The sequence below is a fragment of the Homo sapiens genome, chromosome 9, assembly GCF_000001405.40.
Source record: "Homo sapiens chromosome 9, GRCh38.p14 Primary Assembly".
Taxonomy (NCBI): Eukaryota; Metazoa; Chordata; class Mammalia; order Primates; family Hominidae; genus Homo; species Homo sapiens.
The window spans coordinates 131,423,400-131,442,055 of record NC_000009.12 but is presented as its reverse complement, the minus strand read 5'-3'; the positions used below and the strand labels follow the sequence as shown (position 1 = coordinate 131,442,055).

The 18,656-nt window shown below is 48.0% G+C and overlaps 1 protein-coding gene across 5 annotated transcripts in view, besides 2 other annotated features; it reads right to left on the bottom strand.

Moving 5' to 3' along the window:
• The window catches only part of PRRC2B (proline rich coiled-coil 2B), a 126,543-nt gene that overhangs the window by 58,138 nt on the left and 49,749 nt on the right, over positions 1 to 18,656 (bottom strand). For 3 of the 5 annotated variants that reach the window (NM_001384822.1, NM_013318.4, NM_001384821.1), the window contains exons 2-5: positions 11,797 to 11,962; positions 9,262 to 9,439; positions 5,334 to 5,436; positions 2,995 to 3,067 (exon numbers count right to left, since the gene is read on the bottom strand). In NM_001384822.1, coding sequence (NP_001371751.1) covers positions 2,995 to 3,067; positions 5,334 to 5,436; positions 9,262 to 9,439; positions 11,797 to 11,911 — 469 coding nt within the window. In that variant the 5' untranslated portion in view covers positions 11,912 to 11,962. Of the gene's footprint in view, positions 1 to 2,994; positions 3,068 to 5,333; positions 5,437 to 9,261; positions 9,440 to 11,796; positions 11,967 to 18,656 lie in introns of all 5 variants that reach the window. The other 2 variants (NM_001384818.1, NM_001384823.1) reach the window with 1 other exon arrangement.
• Positions 4,031 to 5,004: an enhancer, noted in NCBI's record as "OCT4-NANOG-H3K27ac-H3K4me1 hESC enhancer chr9:134312439-134313412 (GRCh37/hg19 assembly coordinates)". NCBI's record gives its function as "activates a minimal SCP1, AML or CMV promoter by ChIP-STARR-seq in primed H9 embryonic stem cells {active_cell/tissue: H9 hESC(primed)}" and the evidence as "EXISTENCE:reporter gene assay evidence [ECO:0000049][PMID:30033119]".
• Positions 5,005 to 5,980: an enhancer, noted in NCBI's record as "OCT4-NANOG-H3K27ac-H3K4me1 hESC enhancer chr9:134311463-134312438 (GRCh37/hg19 assembly coordinates)". NCBI's record gives its function as "activates a minimal SCP1, AML or CMV promoter by ChIP-STARR-seq in primed H9 embryonic stem cells {active_cell/tissue: H9 hESC(primed)}" and the evidence as "EXISTENCE:reporter gene assay evidence [ECO:0000049][PMID:30033119]".

The window sequence follows — 18,656 nt, the reverse complement described above, 5'->3', positions numbered from 1 at the left end:
GCTTCGAGAATCATGAATATATTATTGTAAGCATGAATTAATCTTAATAAGGATAAAGGGTAGGAAAAAAAAAAATCTCACACCAAAATACCAGTATTCATAAGGTCCCAATGTTTTATGATGTTCACCTGCCATCTGTTCTCTGCCATGAGAAACTGAGGCAGGAAAGTCAGGGGGCTTCTTCCGAGGTCACAGGCTGAGCCACTGGTGGGGCAGCAGCTGGTATCTGAGCCTCTGACCTCTGCCCAAACATGCAATCAGGTCTCCTGGGTCTGTTTCAGGTGACCTATCAACTGAGTCTATCAATTCAGGAAAAGTCCTTTTGAATTCCAAAGAGTCATGAAAACACTTGTGGGCAACACCCTCAAATCCCCACACTCCTGACAGTGTCACAGATGCATGACTCTAGCACGAGAGGGGGAACTGAAACTGACTTTTACACTTGGCCCCCACCCTGCCCAGTGTGTCGATTCTGTGGGCTGGCAGGTTTCTGCCTGCAATTATTTTCTTTGTTTTTTTAAATTTTGTGTAGAGAAAGGGTCTTGCTATGTTTTTCAGGCTGGACTTAAACTCCTGGGCTCAACCAATCCTCTCACCTTGGCCTTCCAAGTAGCTGGGATAACAGGTGTGTGCCACCACGTCCAGTTTAAAATTATTTTCTCCATCAAGCTTTATTGTGATACAGTTACATTACCTACATTTTTTATAGGTAACACAGTGACATGGTTCAGAAGTGAACACCATGTAAAGGTAGACACAGAAGCCTTCCTCTCACCCCTATGCCCATTTGCCCCCTTCTGACTCCCTCAAAAAAACTGGCAGTTTTCTGTTACCTTCTGGAGATTTTTAAACACATATACATCAGTATACAGATGGGTGGCTTTTAAAACATGCATATACAACATTTTTTAGAAGTGTATTTTTTCTCACTCCCATTTTTCTGTTTTGTCCTTTAAGATAGGGTCTTGCTCTGTCACCCAGGTTGGTGTACAGGAGTGTGACCACAGCTCACTGCAGCCTCCACCTCTGGTGCTCAGGTGATTCTCCTGCCTCAAGCCTCCCAAGTAGCTGGGACTACAGGTGTCTGCCACCACACTTGGCTGATTTTTTGTATTTCTTGTAGAGACAGGGTTTCACCATGTTGCCCAGGCTGGTCTCGAACTACCGGACTCAAGCAATCCTTCTGCCTCAGCCTCCCAAAGTCCTGGGATTACAGGTGTCCAGCCCTCACCCCCATTTTTTACACAAATGGTTAAGATACTATACATACCATTCTGTACTTTTTTTCACCTGAAGATCTTGCCAAATCAATAGAAAACTTCTGCTTTTTTTCTTTATAGCCAAATCACATTTCATTAAAGTACCATAATTTTACAGGCATTTCAAGGGACTGTTTGCAATCTTTTGCTATTATAATGTTGCAGTGAATAATCTTATGCGCAAGTCATTTCACACACGGGCGAGTATAATTTGTAGAGCAATTTCCTCAGGGTGCACTTGCTAGGTCAAAGGGTATTATGTGTTATTATTTTGCCAGGCAGCGCCAAACTGGCTTCCATAGGAGTTGGGCCAATTTATACAGAAGTTTTTCTTTTAATTTTTGTAGTTCTTTTTAAATAAAAATTAATATATTCTATCTATTTTTAAAAATTCTAACCTTATGGAGGTTGCAGTGAGCTATTGTGCCACTGCACTCCAGCCTGTGTGACAAAGCAAGACTCTGTCTCAAAAAAAACAAAAACAAAACAAAAAATTCTAACCTTACAGAAATATAAGATATGGAAAGCCAAAGAACCAGTTACAAGTCCAGTGAATGCTCTTCATAAAGCATCTTCAAAGACCCTTTTGAGGTCAGGCACGGTGGCTTACGTCTGTAATCCCAGCACTCTGGGAGGCCAAGGTAGGAGGATCATTTGAGCCCAGGAGTTGGAGACCAGCCTGAGCAACATAGTGAGATCTCGTCGCAACCAATCAATCACTCAGTCAATCAATTAATCAATAAGCCAGGCGTGGTGGTGCATGCGCCTGTGATCCCAGCCCCAGCTACTTGGGAGGCTGAAGTGGGAGGATCTCTTGAGCCTAGGAGTTTGAGATCAGCCTGGGCAACATAGTGAAATCTTGTCTCTACTCAGAATGGAAAGAAAAAAAAAAAAAATCAGCCAGATGTCGTGGTACACACCTGTAGTCCCAGCTACTCAGGAAGCTGAGGTGGGAGGATTGCTTGAGCCCGGGAGATCGAGGCTGCAATGGGCTATAATTGTGCCACTGCACTCCTGCTGGCACTCGATCTGTACCCTCAGCCCCTTGGGAGAAGCTGGGGCACTGAAATCCAATTGGCACATTGATCGGTCATTTCCCGTTGGAGACTGAGGGAAGAGCCTTTGAGCACAGGGATTTCAACCCATAAGGGGCAGGACCTCCTAGGCATGGCAGGCTGGGGGTGAGGTTCAGGTAACGAAGGATGTGCAGCTGGTTTTCTAATACAGGCTACTAAAGACCAAGTCTGGTGAAGCCTTGGCTGGCAGGGGTAGTGCAGGAAGCAGAAGGCGATATCAGGATGGTGGCAAAGGGTAATAAAGGGCAGCCAGTGCTGCTTTACAGGAGAAAGTGAATTGTGGGCTTTCCCCAGTACATTCCTTTGAATCGTCTGCCCACACCACGACCACTCTCCTTCCCACTCAGAGCTGCTGCCTAGTTTGGTCTGAAGCACAGTATGCTAGAAACATTCAAGCTATCATCAAAAATCACCAGCAGCACAGCCCAGTCAGCACTCCTCTGTCTCAGCAAGAGCACACATCCAAAGAAACCAAAGAGCTGGCACCTCTACAGAGTCAGCGCCCGCTGTGCACAGGCAAGGGCTCCATAGACGGTACCTCTTTGTGGAAGAGAGTCCTCAAAGCTTCTGGGTGCCTAGACCCAACCAGACATTCTGGAAAAGGCATTCACCTCCCTCTCCCCAGCGTCCCCAAACAACACACACACGTGCGCACTTACCACCTTCGTGTCCTACTGGCTTTCCATTCAGCTGTGCCCATGACTTTGGTCCACCTGGCACTGAATTTGTATTCTGAAAGAAGGAAGAGAATCAGAAGAGGGCCAGCTCCCTTATTCCACTGTACAATAACAGCCTATTACAACAAGGTGCTGAGAGGCCAGCACCTTAGATTCAAACCCTATACGGATCCATCCACCACCACTTTCTGAGCAGCAGCAAAGCCCTGAACCTTCCCTGTAACGCACACTCCACACAGCGGTCCCAGGGACGAGAAAATGCCAGGCCCACTCTACAGACAAGGAGCAGGATTTGGGGAGTGACCAGCTTCAAGTCACACAGACAGTGACACAGCAAAGCCAGGACCCAAACCTGTTTCTCTCCATTCGGTGCTCTGGAACCTCCCGTGTCCACAGAGAGCTACTTTATTTTGCTCCAGCGACAAAGACTAAGGCCCAGTTCCGGCATGTGTCTTTAAAACTGCGCAGCTGCTAATGAGGAACGTGAACAAAGAAGGCCAACATGCCAGATCTTGATCTGGGTGGGCTGGCTGCAGCACTTTCTGTAGTGACCGTGACTCTACAAGGCACAGCTCCCCTCCTGAGAACCCTAGGAGGTCACCTCTGCTGAAAACTCGCCAGGGTCAGCATTATGCGAAGCACACCCAGCCTGACTGAATGCTCACCACCCCCTGAGAAGGCTCTAGTCACATCCCCCACTGAGGCTCAGAGAAGAGTGACTGAGTCAGATGCAGAACAGCAGGACCAGGACCAGTCTCCAGCCTGCCTATGTCCAGTGCCCTTTCGAGTCTCTAACCACTAAGCTCACCCGTCTTTTCCACTCAACTAACATTCATCTCACAGCCTTCCTCTTCTAACTGAAGGTGAAAATACACAAAACAAAGCTGCTGCTTTGTGAAACTTCCCCACTTACTGGTAGATGTTCTAAAACTCGCACAACACTGGGCACTTCTTCTTACCTGCCCCTCACATATGAGAGAAAACCAGGTAGCAGCAAAGAAGCACTGAGCACTGGATAAGGTGACCCCTGTGCCAGTGCCAGGATGGGTTCCCCTTCCTTGGCATAGTGCTCCCCTTCAGCAATTCATTCAAATAGATGCCCAGGACCTCACCCACAGGCCCCAGTGGTGGGGTCTGAGCACATACATCTTGAACAGGCTTCAGAGGCAAATCTGATCTCTCAGCTCTATCACCTCACTCCTTTTCTTTCAAATTCTGGGAAGCAGAAAGGAACTCAACTCTAAATACTCTGACTAGCCTATGGGTCCCAGTGGATTTAGGCCAAGGAAAAGGGCATCTTGCATGATTATAGACCTCTTTTCTTGTCTTTAATTTTAAAAGCACGGTTCAGTGTTAGGTGGGGAGAGGGTGCCCTGGCAAAGCCACAGACTTCCCTGAGTATGGTTAAAGCAGAGAGGGGATGACATTTGAGACCTTATATTGCCCATGCAGCAAAGCAAAACCAAAATATGTTCATTCCCGCTGTCAAGAGAGCTGGTGAATATGAGATATCTACGTCTACTTTTAGTCTTCTAAAAAATTCATAGACTTCTCATCTAGATTTCTAGTTCTGGCTAAGTATATCCTCCTGCCAATCTCTGGAAACCTGTAGCCAGGCTCTGATGGACTGAGTGTGTTATGAGCTCTTGCTTGGTGAAATCATTACTTTCTGCTTAGAAAAACACTTAAAACATATCAACAAATGAAGGATTGTAGCTTCGTATTTCCCAAAGCGTGTTCTGAGAGACATTAGTCCCTAGAGACATTCGGTAAAGAAATGTTTCCTGGGACAAATAAATTCAGGGACTGCTGCCCATTATATCCTCTTCTCAGAGAGTCACATTAGGTATTAGCATATGAAAGGCACTGAGAAGTACCGCAGTAAAGGAGCTCGCTTCGTTTTGTTTTTCAAACTCACCTGGCCAGTGAACCTTTTTGTGACCTGCCACTTTTTGTCTTCCTGTGACCCAAGCTTCCATGGAGCTCACGTGACGCTTCCATGGAGCTTCACCCTGAACTAGTCTGCAGTCCAGCCTGAGTGACCCTGCCTCACGGTAAATCAAGAGGAACCAAAGTAGGTGCCTGTATCCTAGTCTGTATCTGAGGTCTTTTTCTAAAAGCTGCAGATTAAATTTCTTAACCACTGACCTTGACGGTTTCCCATGACGGTTTTCTAAAGTCACTCATCGGGTGTGCCTCTGGAATAGACAGGTCATGCACAACCACACTTCTCAGTAGCAACTCCTTCCATCCCCCAGCAACAAAGAGATTTAGGGGCTACCATGCCCAGGAAACAGTTGGGATGGGGTCCCAGCACCTACCTCCTGACTGATTGACTGTGTCGGTTTCTGCAAATTGGAGACAGATTTCTGCAAACCCGGCTGCGGCAGCGACTCCGGCGGCTGAGAGGCCGTCGCACTGGAACTAGACAAAGGCAGGGCAGTGGGGTCAGGCACCGCACAGAGTGCGCTGGCCAGGTCTCTGCGTTCTCAGGAGCCACAGCTGTTCAGCTGCTCACAGGAAGCAGACCTCCTCTGGCCAATAAAAATACGACTTTCCCCAGTAGATTCTTATGCTGGCAAAAACTAATAAGAAAACAAACCATGCTTAAGTTCTAGTCACTGACATTTAAAATTAGCACAAGACAGTCCTCTGACTTTTTCTTTTTCTTTTTTTTGAGACAGGGGGTCTCACTCTATCACCCAGGCTGGAGTGTAGTGGGGTAAACTTGGCTCAATGCAACCTCTGCTTCCCGGCCTCAAGCAATCCTCTCATCTCGGCCTTCTGAGTAGGTGGGACTACAGGCTTGAGCCACCTTGCCTGGCCTTTCTTTTTTAAAAATGAAACTTTTCTGCCTTCTTGTAGAGCCTTCTGTCTGCAAAAACTAAAAGCTCACTGTAAACAATGCAAATGAAGGATTTGCCAATAGGGAAATTCAATCACTGGAATGAAGGGCTTGTGCCCCTTACCCCAGACCCAGAGCCCATACCTACTCAGAGGGCTGACTTTTTAACCTTCTCTGAGTTTATAAAAGAAATACATGCTCATAGTAAAAATAAACTTATAAATAAAACTAGGTAACACAGAACATCATGATCTCATCATCCAGAGAGAAACTCCAAGCAGACTTTTCTATACCTGTTAATACAGTTTTGTTTTTAACCAGCAGAGTTTTACACTGCAGGAATACAGTATTTTTCTAACAGAAGTGGAGTGACCCCATACATAAAGCTCTATGACTTTTTTACTTCATGCATCTGAACATCTTTTCATCAACATAGAAACGGATCTTCCTTTTGCTTTTAATGAGCACACAACACAACTAGACAGGTCATAATTTAACCAGTCTCTCATATGGGTTTTTCTTCCCCCTTACAGATACAACTGCAATAAGAATTTTTTGGCTTTTTTTTTTTTTTTTTTTTTTTTTAGATGGAGTCTCATTCTGCCGCCCAGGTTGCAGTGCAGTGGCATGATCTCAGCTCACTGCAACCTCTTTCTCCCAGGTTCAAGCGATTCTCCTGCCTCAGTCTCCCGAATATCTGGGATTACAGTTATGCAGCACCACGCCTGGCTAATTTTTGTATTTTTAGCAGAGACGGGGTTTCAACATGTTGGCCAGGCCAGTCTTGAACTCCTGACCTCATGTGATCTGCTCAGTTCAGCCTCCCAAAGTGCTGGGATTACAGGTGTGAGCCACTGCGCCCGACCTACAATAAGAACTTTTTTTTCTTTTCTTTTTTTTCGAGATGGAATCTCGCTCTGTCACTCTGGCTAAAGTGCAGTGGCATGATCTCGGCTCACTGCAACCTCTGCCTCCCGGGTTCAAGCAATTCTCCTGCCTCATCCTCCCAAGTAGCTGGGATTACAGGCGTGCACGACCACGCCCAGCTAATTTTTGTATTTTTAGTAGAGATCGGGTTTCGCCATGTTGGTCAGGCTGGTCTTGAACTCCTGACCTCAGGTGATCCACCCTCCTCGGCCTCCCAAAGTGCTGGGATTACAGATGTCAGCCACTGCACCCGGCCAAGAATTTTTTTTAATACATATCTTTGCACCATTTTTCTGTAAGTAATTCCATAGCATACGACCTTAGAAATGGAAATGCTGGATCAAAAGATATTTTGAAGTTTAAATGATTGCCAGGCTGCCCTCCAAAAAAAGGCTGTGTCAGTGAATTTACACTCCACAGGTGAAGTGATGAAATCAACAAGAAATGGCCGAATGAAGGTTTCTGCTCTAACTCAGCGCTCCGGTCACAGTAGGCAACTTTTCACTCAACGAGATTCAAGGAGGGCAGCCACCCCCCTGGTGGGAACTCCTCCAATACAAGTGGCTTATCTGTAAATGGAAGCCAAACTCTATACAGACACCCTCTTCCAAGATTCACCTGACCCAGGCAACTCACCATTCGTGATTATTACAAACAGAAGGCTACTGATCGGGTTCTTACATCTCCTTCTACCTAAAAGAGAAGCTTCCAAGTAGTCGCACTTTTGTGTTCTCCAAAACTAAGCACTGAGTCCCCACGTTGTGGGCCCACTTGCCACCTGATACCTTGGTGGGAGGATGTGGCCTGGGGCAGCAGAGAACTACACGGGGGTCTATGCCCTCACCAACACTCCATCCTCACCTCTTCCCTGGCGGACGTGCTCCAGCACAACTAGCCCTCACTGGAGCCGCAAAGGCAGAGTAAAGGCTGGATAACAGGAGGGAGTAATGCTTTGTCCTCTCTAGAACTTTTGGTGGTGCAGAGGATTTCAGTCCTTCCATTAAAATGTGCAATATCCATTTCGTTCCAGAGCTCATGGTGTGAATGGAATGAGTACCATTTGAATGGAATGATGACAGCAGCCAATATCTGCCCCTCCTCTGTGCCAGGTTTAGGCTAAGCACTTGACCTATGCTAGCCCATCAATGCCTCATGGATACCGTGTAACCACCAGCAAAGCCAGGTATCATTCCTATTTCAAGGGGGGGACACTGAGGCTCAGAAGTCAAACAATTCTCCAGGTTCCATCAAGCTAATAAGTGGTCTAGCTGGAAACCACTTAGGGCTGGTAGATTTCAAAAGTCATGCTATACTGTCCATCAATATGATCCCTAAGCAAACTCTTAGAAATGTTTTAAAAATAACTTCTAAGGCCCTATTTTGATTACTACTTTATAATCATCTAGCTGAATAACTAAACTAGCTCACTCTCTACATCCTGTCTGAAGTAAATACAGGCAACAATTTTACAAAAGCTACCATGGTCATTTCTAGCACAGACTTGTAAGAAAAGGATGCTGGGGTCAGCAGGCTGAGATCTGGGTCCCTTTTACCGTCTGGTTTCCTACATCAGCAGGGAGGCCACCAGAGATGCAGGCCAGGAGGGCGCTGCCGCCAGACAGCTTTGTTCACATTCCTTAACAGGCAAACCCCAGCAGCAGATTTCTGCCTGCCAGCCTCAGCAAGGCCCTGTCCCTCCCTGAACACATCCCCTTCCCTGAATTGTCTTAGCACTGGCTAAACACTCAGAGAGGACTTGCAGCAGGAGACAAAGGTGCAGCCATCCAAGTGGGCCCCAGGCAGCCAGGCCCTGTGTTTTCAGCCCACCACACAGGGGCTGTTTCTCTGATTGACAGCACCATGCCACCCTCTGCCCCCTAGGGTTTCTGTAAGTACTGTGCTGGCAGGAGGTGAGCCTCCAGGGAGGCTGCAGTACAGTGATCCTGGAGGATTCTGTGCTGTTCTCACTGATGACTAGGTCTGTTTAGAGCAACAGCAGAAGTCTCCTCTGTCTGGGAAGCTGCTGGGCCGATGGTTAGGGAAGCTGCATGATTCTCTGCAGAGCTCAGCTCACAGGGACACCCATCACCAGGAATGAAGTCCTCAAGCCCCAGCTCTGTCCACAGTGTTTCTTACAGGAATTGGCTCTGAGTCATTGCATAAGCTCCTCTGGGGTGATGAGGCCTTTCCTAATAAGGCACAGGGGGAAAGTGGTCACTGGGGACAAGGTTGTCCACAGATGTGCTGCTCCATCGGCTCTAAAAGCCAGAAAAAATGAAGGCAGGGAAAAAGAAACATACGAAGCACCAGGGCCAGAGAGGAAGCAGCTTCATTTGCATCTCCCAGTGTTCCAATTCTGCCACTGCAAGACTAGCGCTGCAGTAGCCAAAGGGTTAGGGTTAGTTTGCCACAGGGAAGGATGCCGGGACCACCCTTGGAGCGCCAGCTCCCACTCACCACCCGCCTCCTCCGTTTACCTCTTTGGGTCTTGCTGATCCTGCTTGTTTGCCCATCCCGTCCCGTCCTTGGGTACTATCACGATGTTGGGGTCGTTTCCTTTGTTTTCAGACTTCAAGCTTGGCAGGTTTGCAGGCGGTGGCATGCGCCGGGCTGCAGCAACTTTCCCAAGACTCTGTAAGCCATGTCTAGGAATAACTGCAGGGAGAGGGACATGGAACAGACACCATGCAAAAAGGTCACAGAAGGAAAGAAGCCTGATGCATTCAGCTGTTCTTTCAATCTCTAAGTGATCATAACAAAGCTAACCCAACAAAAAACAAAGGGCAGACCAGCAGTGGGACAAACAAGTGTTTGGTGTCACTTTAGTCACTTTACAAGCTCTTCACTGAAGACTACAGGGACAAAGGAGCTGCTAAAACCTGTAAAAAGGCTTCCATTTCACTGATGGGCAGGACAAGGCTCGCAGACTTTACAACATGGGTGAGGAGACAGGCCCAGGAACCTCCAGCTTACAGAGGAACCACCTCTCTGCAAGTTGAGACAGCTCTGGTCTCATTACAGGACTAAAGGGACAGCCTCTGCCTAGATCCAAAACAAGACTGAACAGGAGCCCTTCGACATTCATGAAGTCTTCATGGGGTGTGAAAAGGATCAACAAGAACCTTTCCAACAAGTTCTAGAATATCAAGAACCATGAAAGCTAAAAAGGCTGATAACACACCAGGCGTGGTGGCTCACACGTGTAATTGCAGCACTTTGGGAGGCCGAGGTGGGTAGATCGCTTGAGCCCAGGAGTTCGAGACCAGCCTGGGCAATGTGACAAAACCCTGTCTCTACTAAAAATACAAAAATTAGCCAGTCTCATAACCCAGTCTCTAAATAAATAAATAAATTTTAAAACAAAATTTAAAAAATTCTTTAAGGATGGCCGGGCGCGGTGGCTCATGCCTGTAATCTCAGCACTTTGGGAGGCCGAGGCGGGCGGATCACGAGGTCAGGAGATCGAGACCATCCTCGCTAACACGGTGAAACCCTGTCTCTACTAAAAATACAAAAAATTAGCCGGGAGTGATGGCGGGCGCCTGTAGTCCCAGCCACTCAGGAGGCTGAGGCGGAAGAATGGCGTGAACCCAGGAGGTGGAGCTTGCAGTGAGCCGAGATTGCGCCACTGCACTCCATCCAGCCTGAGCAACAGAGTGAGACTCCGTCTCAAAAAAAAAAAAAAATTCTTTATTAAGGATAACACTGGCCAGGCGCAGTGGCTCATGCCTGTAATCCCAGCACCCTGGGAGGCCGAGGTGGGTGGATCACCTAAGGTCGGGAGTTCGAGACCAGCCTGACCAACATGGAGAAACCCCATCTCTATTAAAAATACAAAATTAGGCTGGGCACGGTGGCTCACGCCTGTAATCCCAGCACTTTGGGAGGCCGAGGCAAGCCGATCACGAGGTCAGGAGATCAAGACCGATCTGGCTAACACGGTGAAACCCCGTCTCTACTAAAAATACAAAAAATTAGCCAGGCATGATGGTGGGCGCCTGTCGTCCCAGCTACTTGGGAGGCTGAGGCAGGAGAATGGCGTGAACCCGGGAGGCAGAGCTTACAGTGAGCCAAGATCACACCACTGCACTCCACCCTGCATGACAGAGTGAGACTCCGTCTCAAAAAAGAAAAACAAAAAACAAAAAGCAAAATTAGCCGGGCGTGGTGGCACATGCCTGTAATCCCAGCTACTCAGGAGGCTGAGGCAGGAGAATCACTTGAACCTAGGAGGTGAAGGTTGCACTGAGCTGAGATCACGCCATTGCACTCCAGCATGGGCAATAAGAGCGAAACTGTGTCTCAAAAAAAAAAAAAAAGGATAACACTAATGCCTATTAAGTCCCATTCTACCCATCAGGATAAAAATCCACAGCTTTGGCCAGGCACAGTGGCTCACACCTGTAATCCCAGCACTTTGGGAGGCCGAGGCGGGTGGATCACCTGAGGTCACGAGTTTGAGACCAGCCTCACTAACATGGGGAAACCCCATCTCTACTAAAAATACAAAAATTAGCTGGGCGTGGTGGCACACATCTGTAATCCTTGCTACTCGGGAGGCTGAGGCAAGAGACTCGCTTGAGCCCAGAAGGTGGAGGTTGCAATGAGCTGAGATCATGCCACTGAACTCCAGCCTGGGTGACAGAGTGAGACTCTGTCTCCAAAACATATATATACACACACACACACACACACACACACACACACACATACACACACACCTATAGATATCTATAGATAGATATCTATCTATCTATCTATAGATATCTATAGATATATCTCCCCAGCTTCAATAAGGTAATAGATGGAGAAAATTCCACTACAGAAAGAGTCAGGATGCTCAAGGCTCTGAAATCATACCTCAAGTAGGAAGTAGAGAGTGATTCTACATGCACACCCAGAAGCCTGGTGTGCACGGACCACATCTGTCTAACCAGGTGAGGGACTCTGGGTTTCTGGGATATGTCACTCGGAGAAAGTTTGAGGAACTGGCCTTCAACCCTGGGCCTTACCTGAGGATCTAATCGCGTCTACTGATTTTCCTTTATACTTATCAAACAGGCTGAGAGTCGAGTACTTGCTTTTCCCATCCTTGCCCTTGGTAATTTGCCCCAAACGATCGGACATTGCGATGAAATGTCATCTAGTAAGGAAATTTTTCTCGGCACCGCTCCCGATCTGCCTTTGAAATAGAGAAGAAAAAAAAAAAAAGAGAGAGAAAAAAAAAAAAGAGTGTCACTACAGCAGAACCTCTGATCCAGAGGAGTGAATCCTTCACGAATCATGGATCTCCTTGAAGATCTGAAGATGGCTTTGGACTGTCCTTAGAAAACTGCTCTCACCACCCACAGGCTGTTCATTCACATTTACAGGGCATTTATGTAGACACCCCGAGGCGATCTGTGGAGTACCCCCCCAACCCCCACCTGCTGTTAATTCCTCTCACTCTGAGTTGGCTGGAGTCTACTGCACACCAACCACACTGACATGTAAACTTCAACAGAGCCCTCTCCAAGTCAAGGACAGCTCAAGATGGAAAAATAAATGCTCAGTACTTTAACACATCCATGTATAACACTGAAAATAAGGCTAGCAGAATAGGGGAGGTACACAACCCACTTACACCACGGCTGTTCATCTCAAGGGCAAGCAAAACCAAATCAAAGGAGGGCAGCCAGAGTATTATCCTTCAGAAATAATCAAGTATATACACTTTTCAAAATAAACAACTAGTACCCAGAGAGAAAACATCTGCTTAGGCAACAAAAGGGCTCTCTAAGCTACACACATGGAAAACAGAAAGCAAGAACTCCCCAGGGCTAGCAAGGGAGAGACCACATGGGGGCTATGCCATCCGCACTTGCCCCTTTGAAGAGACAACCTTGAAAAGCCCTCCAAGAAAGAAGCTTCCCTCCTCTGCCACTTTCTAATGTGCTACAGGTGTCCATGAGTCTACTAGTGCTCTCCTCATCAGTTCACTCACTCACTCACTCACTCACTCACTCACTCAAAATACTAAGCGCCTGGCTGGGCGTGGTGGTTCACGCCTGTAATCCCAGCACTTTGGGAGGCTAAGGTGGGCAGATCACTTAAGGTCAGGAGTTCGAGACCTGCCTGGCCAGCATGGCGAAACCCTGTCTCTACTGAAAACACAAAAATTAGCCAGGCATGGTGGCAGGTATATGTAATTCCAGCTACTGAGGAGGATGAGGCAGGAGAATTGCTTGAACCTGGGCTGCAGTGAGTCAAGATTGCACCACTGCACTCCCGTCTAGGCGACAGAGCGAGACTGCATCTTAAAAAAAAACACAACAAAAACAAATACTAAGTGCCGACCAAGGGCCTGTGTGCCAGGCACTGAGGACTAAGAGCTTCACTGCTTTTTATTCCATACCCAACCTTGGCAATAGGTTCTAAGCTTCCTTACCAAAAACCAAACACTTGATGGGCTCAGTGGCTCATGCCTATAATCCCAGCTACTCAGGAAGGCTGAGGTGGGAGGACTGCTTGAAGCCAGGAGTTTGAGACCAGCCTGGTCAACACAGCAAGACACTGTGTCTAAAAAAATTAAAATAGGCCGGGCATGGTGGTTCACACCTATAATCCCAACACTTTGGGAGGCTGAGGTGGGCAGATCACCTGAGGTTTGGAGTTTGAGACCAGCCTGGCCAACATGGTGAAACCCCATCTTTACTAAAATTACACAAATTAGCCAGAGATGGTGGTGCATGCTTATAATCCCAGCTACTCAGGAGGCTGAGACATGAGAATTGCTTGAAGCCGGGAGGCAGAAGTTGCAGTGAGCTGAGATTGCCCTACTGCACTGCAGCCTGGGTGACAGAGGGAGACTACATCTCAAAATGAATAAATAAAAATAAAAATAATTAGCAGGGCATGGTGGCATGCACCTGTAGCCCCAGGTACTTAGGAGGCTGAGGCAGGAGGATCACTTGAGCCCAGGAGCTTGAGGCTGCAGTGAGCTATGATCAGGCCACTGTACTCCAGCCCGAGCAACAGAGCAAGATCCTATCTCTTAAAAAACAAAACTTGTAGGCCGGGCACGGTGGCTCACGCCTATAATCCCAACACTTTGGGAGGCCGAGGTGGGTGGATCACGAGGTCAGGAGCTCAAGACCAGCCTGACCAACATGGTGAAACCCCGTTTCTACTAAAAATACAAAAATTAGCTGGGCATGGTGGTGCACACCTGTAATCCCAGCTACTCAGGAGGCTGAGGCAGAAGAATCACTTGAACCCAGGAGGCAGAGGTTGCAGTGAGCCGAGATTGTGCCATTGCACTCCAGCCTGAGTGACAGAGCAAGACTCCATCTCAACAACAAGAACAAAAACAACAAAAAAATAAAACACTTGTATAAGTGATCATCACTTCTCACTGGAAAACAAAGCTAAAGCAATAATTAAGGCATATGTTTAACATGTCCTCAATGACATAATGGCAACAACTATAATTCCCCATTTTACCACTGACTGGTAAAAGGCACTTGGTGGTAGCTGCGGAAGCAAGGTTTGCCATTTCACCATCTTGTTCTGACACCATGCAGGCCAGGAGGAACACATGCGATGTGGTGGGGGGCAATCTGTACCCCAAAGGATGATTTTAAAGATAAAACTCTATATTATGGGCCAGGTGCGGTGGCTCACTCCTGTAATCCCAGCACTTTGGGAGGCTGAGGTAGGCAGATCACTAGGTCAGGAGATCGAGACCATCCCGGCTAACACGGTGAAACCCCTTCTCTACTAAAAATACAAAAAATTAGCCAGGCGTGGTGGTGGGCGCCTGTAGTCCCAGCTACTCGTGAGGCTGAGGCAGGAGAATGGCGTGAACCCGGGAAGCAGAGCTTGCAGTGAGCTGAGATCGCACCACTGCACTCCAGCCTGGGCAACAGAGCAAGACTCCATCAAAAAAACACACACACACACACAACTATATTATGATCCAAATGAAACATAGGGAGTGAAAATCGATTACAAACAGGGGCCAAAAAAAGTGAGACAAAAGACGCTGACTGAGCTGGTGCCGTGTCAAACACGCAAGTGCGCAAACCATCCTTTCATTCATTTAACAGGTATTGACTGATACCTAAGATCTGCCAATCACTGAGGGACAGATCCGCATGCAATTCGTATCAAGAAATGCTCATGAAGAACGCAGGAAGATGGATGCCGAGGGATAAGCGGTCCTACGTCCGATCTGTGTGAGCAGGGGACACAACCAGGGGCCGACACTGTGCCCTTCTTCAAGGAAATTCTCCTCTCCGCCCCACATGGCTTCAGCCATGCTGGTTGGTTACTTAACTCCCTTCCCTCACCCAAATCCCAGTTTATTCAGCTGCTGCCATGGGCCAAGGAATACCAGGGTGTTTGCAAATGTGCAGGAGCATTTTTGATGTCACAATGATGGGACTGCTGCCCACATTCAGTGGCCAAGCCCAAGGATGCTGAATGTACTAGAGGGCGTAAGAGAGTCTGGCACAATGAAGAAACATACCAGCAAAAGTGCTTCCAAGCACTCACTGCCCCCAAGTTACCTGCCAGCAGCTGCTTGACCCCAGCAGCCCTCCCCAGAGCTCACCTCCTGCACTGGAGCAAAGGGCACCAATGCTCAGAATGGGAGTCAGTCCCACGTGCCCAATCCTGACTGCGGTGCCCATGACCTGGCTGCTTCCTTGCCCTGGGGTCCATGGGCCATTTTAAATCTCCCTCCCTGAGGCTAGGTCCAGGGAGTTGCTGTCCCACTCCCCAAAAGTCATAATTAATAAGAGCATCGTTCCGTGGGCTAGATTGCAAGCCTCTTGAGGGCAGAGCGAGATCCTGTCTCAAGAAAAAGAAAGGCATGGCAAGATTTCACATTGAATGATTTTCCTTTCTTCTTCTTCTTTTTTTCTTTTTCTTTTTTTTTTTTTTTTTTTTTTTGAGACAGAGTTTCTTTCTGTAGCTCAGGCTGGAGTGCAGTGGCACCGTCTTAGCTCACTGCAACCTCCACCTCCCAGATTCAAGCAATTCTCCTGTGTCAGCCTCCTGAGTAGCTGGGCTTACAGGTGTGTGCCACCAAACCTGGCTAATTTTTGTATTTTCAGTAGAGACAAGATTTCATCATGTTGCCCAGGCTGGTCTCAAACTCCTGGCCTCAAGTGATCCACCCACCTCAGCTTCCCAAAGTGCTGGGATTAAAGACATGAGCCACCGTGCCTGGCAACATCGAATGATTTCTTAAATCAAATGTGATTTTTTTTCTTTTTGTTGAGACGGAGTCTCACTCTGTCACCTAGGGTGGAGTGCAGTGGCATGATCTCGGCTCACTGCAACCTCTGCCTCCTAGGTTCAAGCGATTCACCTGCCTCAGCTTCCCAAGTAGCTGGGATTACAGGCGTGAACCACCATGCCCAGCTAAAATGTCATTTAATTCTGAAAACTGACCAGAAATACATTTGTTTATATAAATATTACTTAAAAAGTCCTCGGGGGCCAGGCATGGTGGCTCACGCCTGTAATCCCAGCACTTTGGGAGGCTGAGGCGGGTGATCACGAGGTCAGGAGATCGAGATCATCCTGGCTAACACGGTGAAACCCCATCTCTACTAATAATACAAAAAAAATGAGCCTGGCGTGGTGGCAGGCGCCTGCAGTCTCAGCTACTTGGGGGACTGAGGCAGGAGAATGGCATGAACCCAGAAGGGGAGCTTGCAGTGAGCTGAGATCGCGCCACTGCACGCCAGCCTGGGTGACAGAGCGAAACTCCATCTCAAAAAACAACAACAACAACAACAACAAAAGTCCTCTTAAAAGCTGTTTGCCCTGGCCTCTACTTTCTCTGACTCTGTGCTGACCAGGCCTGAGGGAAAAGGGTAGAATGGACACACACAGCTCTCAGTGTAACTACCTGGCACACACCACACTTCTCTGAGAAGGTTTGATTCATACTTCCCCATACCCTAGTGGCAACAAAAGGAAAAAAACCTTGCTCAGGTCAGGCGTGGTAGCTCACGCCTGTAATCCCAGCACTTTGGGAGGCCGAGGCGAGAGGATCACCTGAGGTCAGGAGTTCAAGACCAGCCTGGCCAACATGGTGAAACCCCGTCTATACTAAAAATACAAAAAGGAGCCAGGCATGGTGGTGCACGCCTGTAATCTCAGCTACTCGGGAGGCTAAAGCAGGAGAATCACTTGAAGGCAGCAGAATCACTTGAACCCAGGAGGCAGAGGCTGCAGTGAGCCAAGATTGCGCCATTGCACTCCAGCCTGGGCAGCAGAGTGAGAATCCATCTCAAAAAACAAAAAACCTCGCCCAAACATGAGACACTCTCCTAGAAATTTAGAATTGTGTTTACGAGATGTCAGTCTGTCTACAACTATTCCTTGAACTATGTCCTCCCAGTAAATTCAACCACCCAACAAATATTAACTGGGCACCTTCTGTGTTCCAGGTGAAATGTTTTCCACCCCTTCCAATCACAGAGCCTTGGTGAAGCCAGTACAAGAAACACATTGGACTAACATCTGCACTTAACCTGCTTGTACAATGTTTTCTTTAATGCCCTCCATCTTTTCTTTTCTTTTCTTTTTTTGAGACAGAGGCTCACACTGTCGCCCGGGCTGGAGTGCAGTGGCACAATCTTGGCTCACTATAACCTCTGCCTCCCAGGTTCAAGTGATTCTCCAGCCTCAGCCTCCCGAGTAGCTGGGATTACAGGTGCGCGCCACCACGCCCAGCTAATTTTCGTATTTTAGTAGAGACAGGGTTTCACCATGTTGGCCAGGCTTGTCTCAAACTCCTAACCTCAAGTTATCCGCCCACCTTGGCCTCCTGAAGTGCTGGGATTACAAGCGTGAGCCACCACACCCAGCCAGTGCCCCCAACCTTTTAACCAAGTTTTGCACTTGTTGGGCACGCTATTGGCCTCTCTAGACCTGTTTCCTCATCTACTGAAGGAGTGGCCTAGACAAGCACTGACCCTAAAATCAAGCCCATCAATGTTGACAACTGACAGCCACAGAAATAATGGTTTACTACCCAGGCGCCGGGGCTCACGCTTGTAATCCCAGCACTTTGGGGAGCTGAAGCAGGCGGATCACTTGAACCCAAGAGTTCAAGACCAGCCTGAGCAACATGGTAAAACTCTGTCTCTACTAAAACTATATTTAAAAAAATTAGCTGGGCGTGGTGATGCACGCCTGTAATCCCAGCCACTGGGGAGGCTGAGGCAGGACAACTGCTTGAGCCTGGGAGGTGGAGGTTGCAGTGAACGGAGATTGGGCCACTGCACTACAGCCTGGGCGACAGAGGGAAAAATCTGTCTAAAAAAAAAAAACGTAGCAGAAAGAAATGGCTTACTGTGGAATCAGCCACCTCTTACAAGCCTGGGATTGGATCCTATTTTCCTATATAAACTTGGGATACCAACAAGGAACCAGGCGAGTCACTGCTGCAGTGAATGAAAGCAGCCCCTACGAGGACAATTACACTCTCCACAGTGAAGACTGCACAAGTGGAGAATCTTCCAGCCTCAACGTTCCATCAGAGCAGGGGCCGGCAGCCTGAAGAGAAATAAGCAAGAGGCCATCTATGGCCCACAAAGCCCAGAACAGTTACTGCCTGGTCCTTTACAAAGTTTGTGTATACACACCTGCTTTACGGCAGTCAGGAGATCTTTCACTGGACACAACTCCAAAATAAACCAGAATCATTCGGATTTCCTCCCGTTGCAGGGATCTCCACTGACCGGCTGAGTGCGAGGCTGGCCCCGCCCACAAGCATCTGGCCCCACTGCTTGCCAGCTGCTTTTCACAAACATCAGGCCAGGGCGCTGTTAGCAGGGCTTTACCAGGCTTCAAATACCTGCCGAGTTTCCAT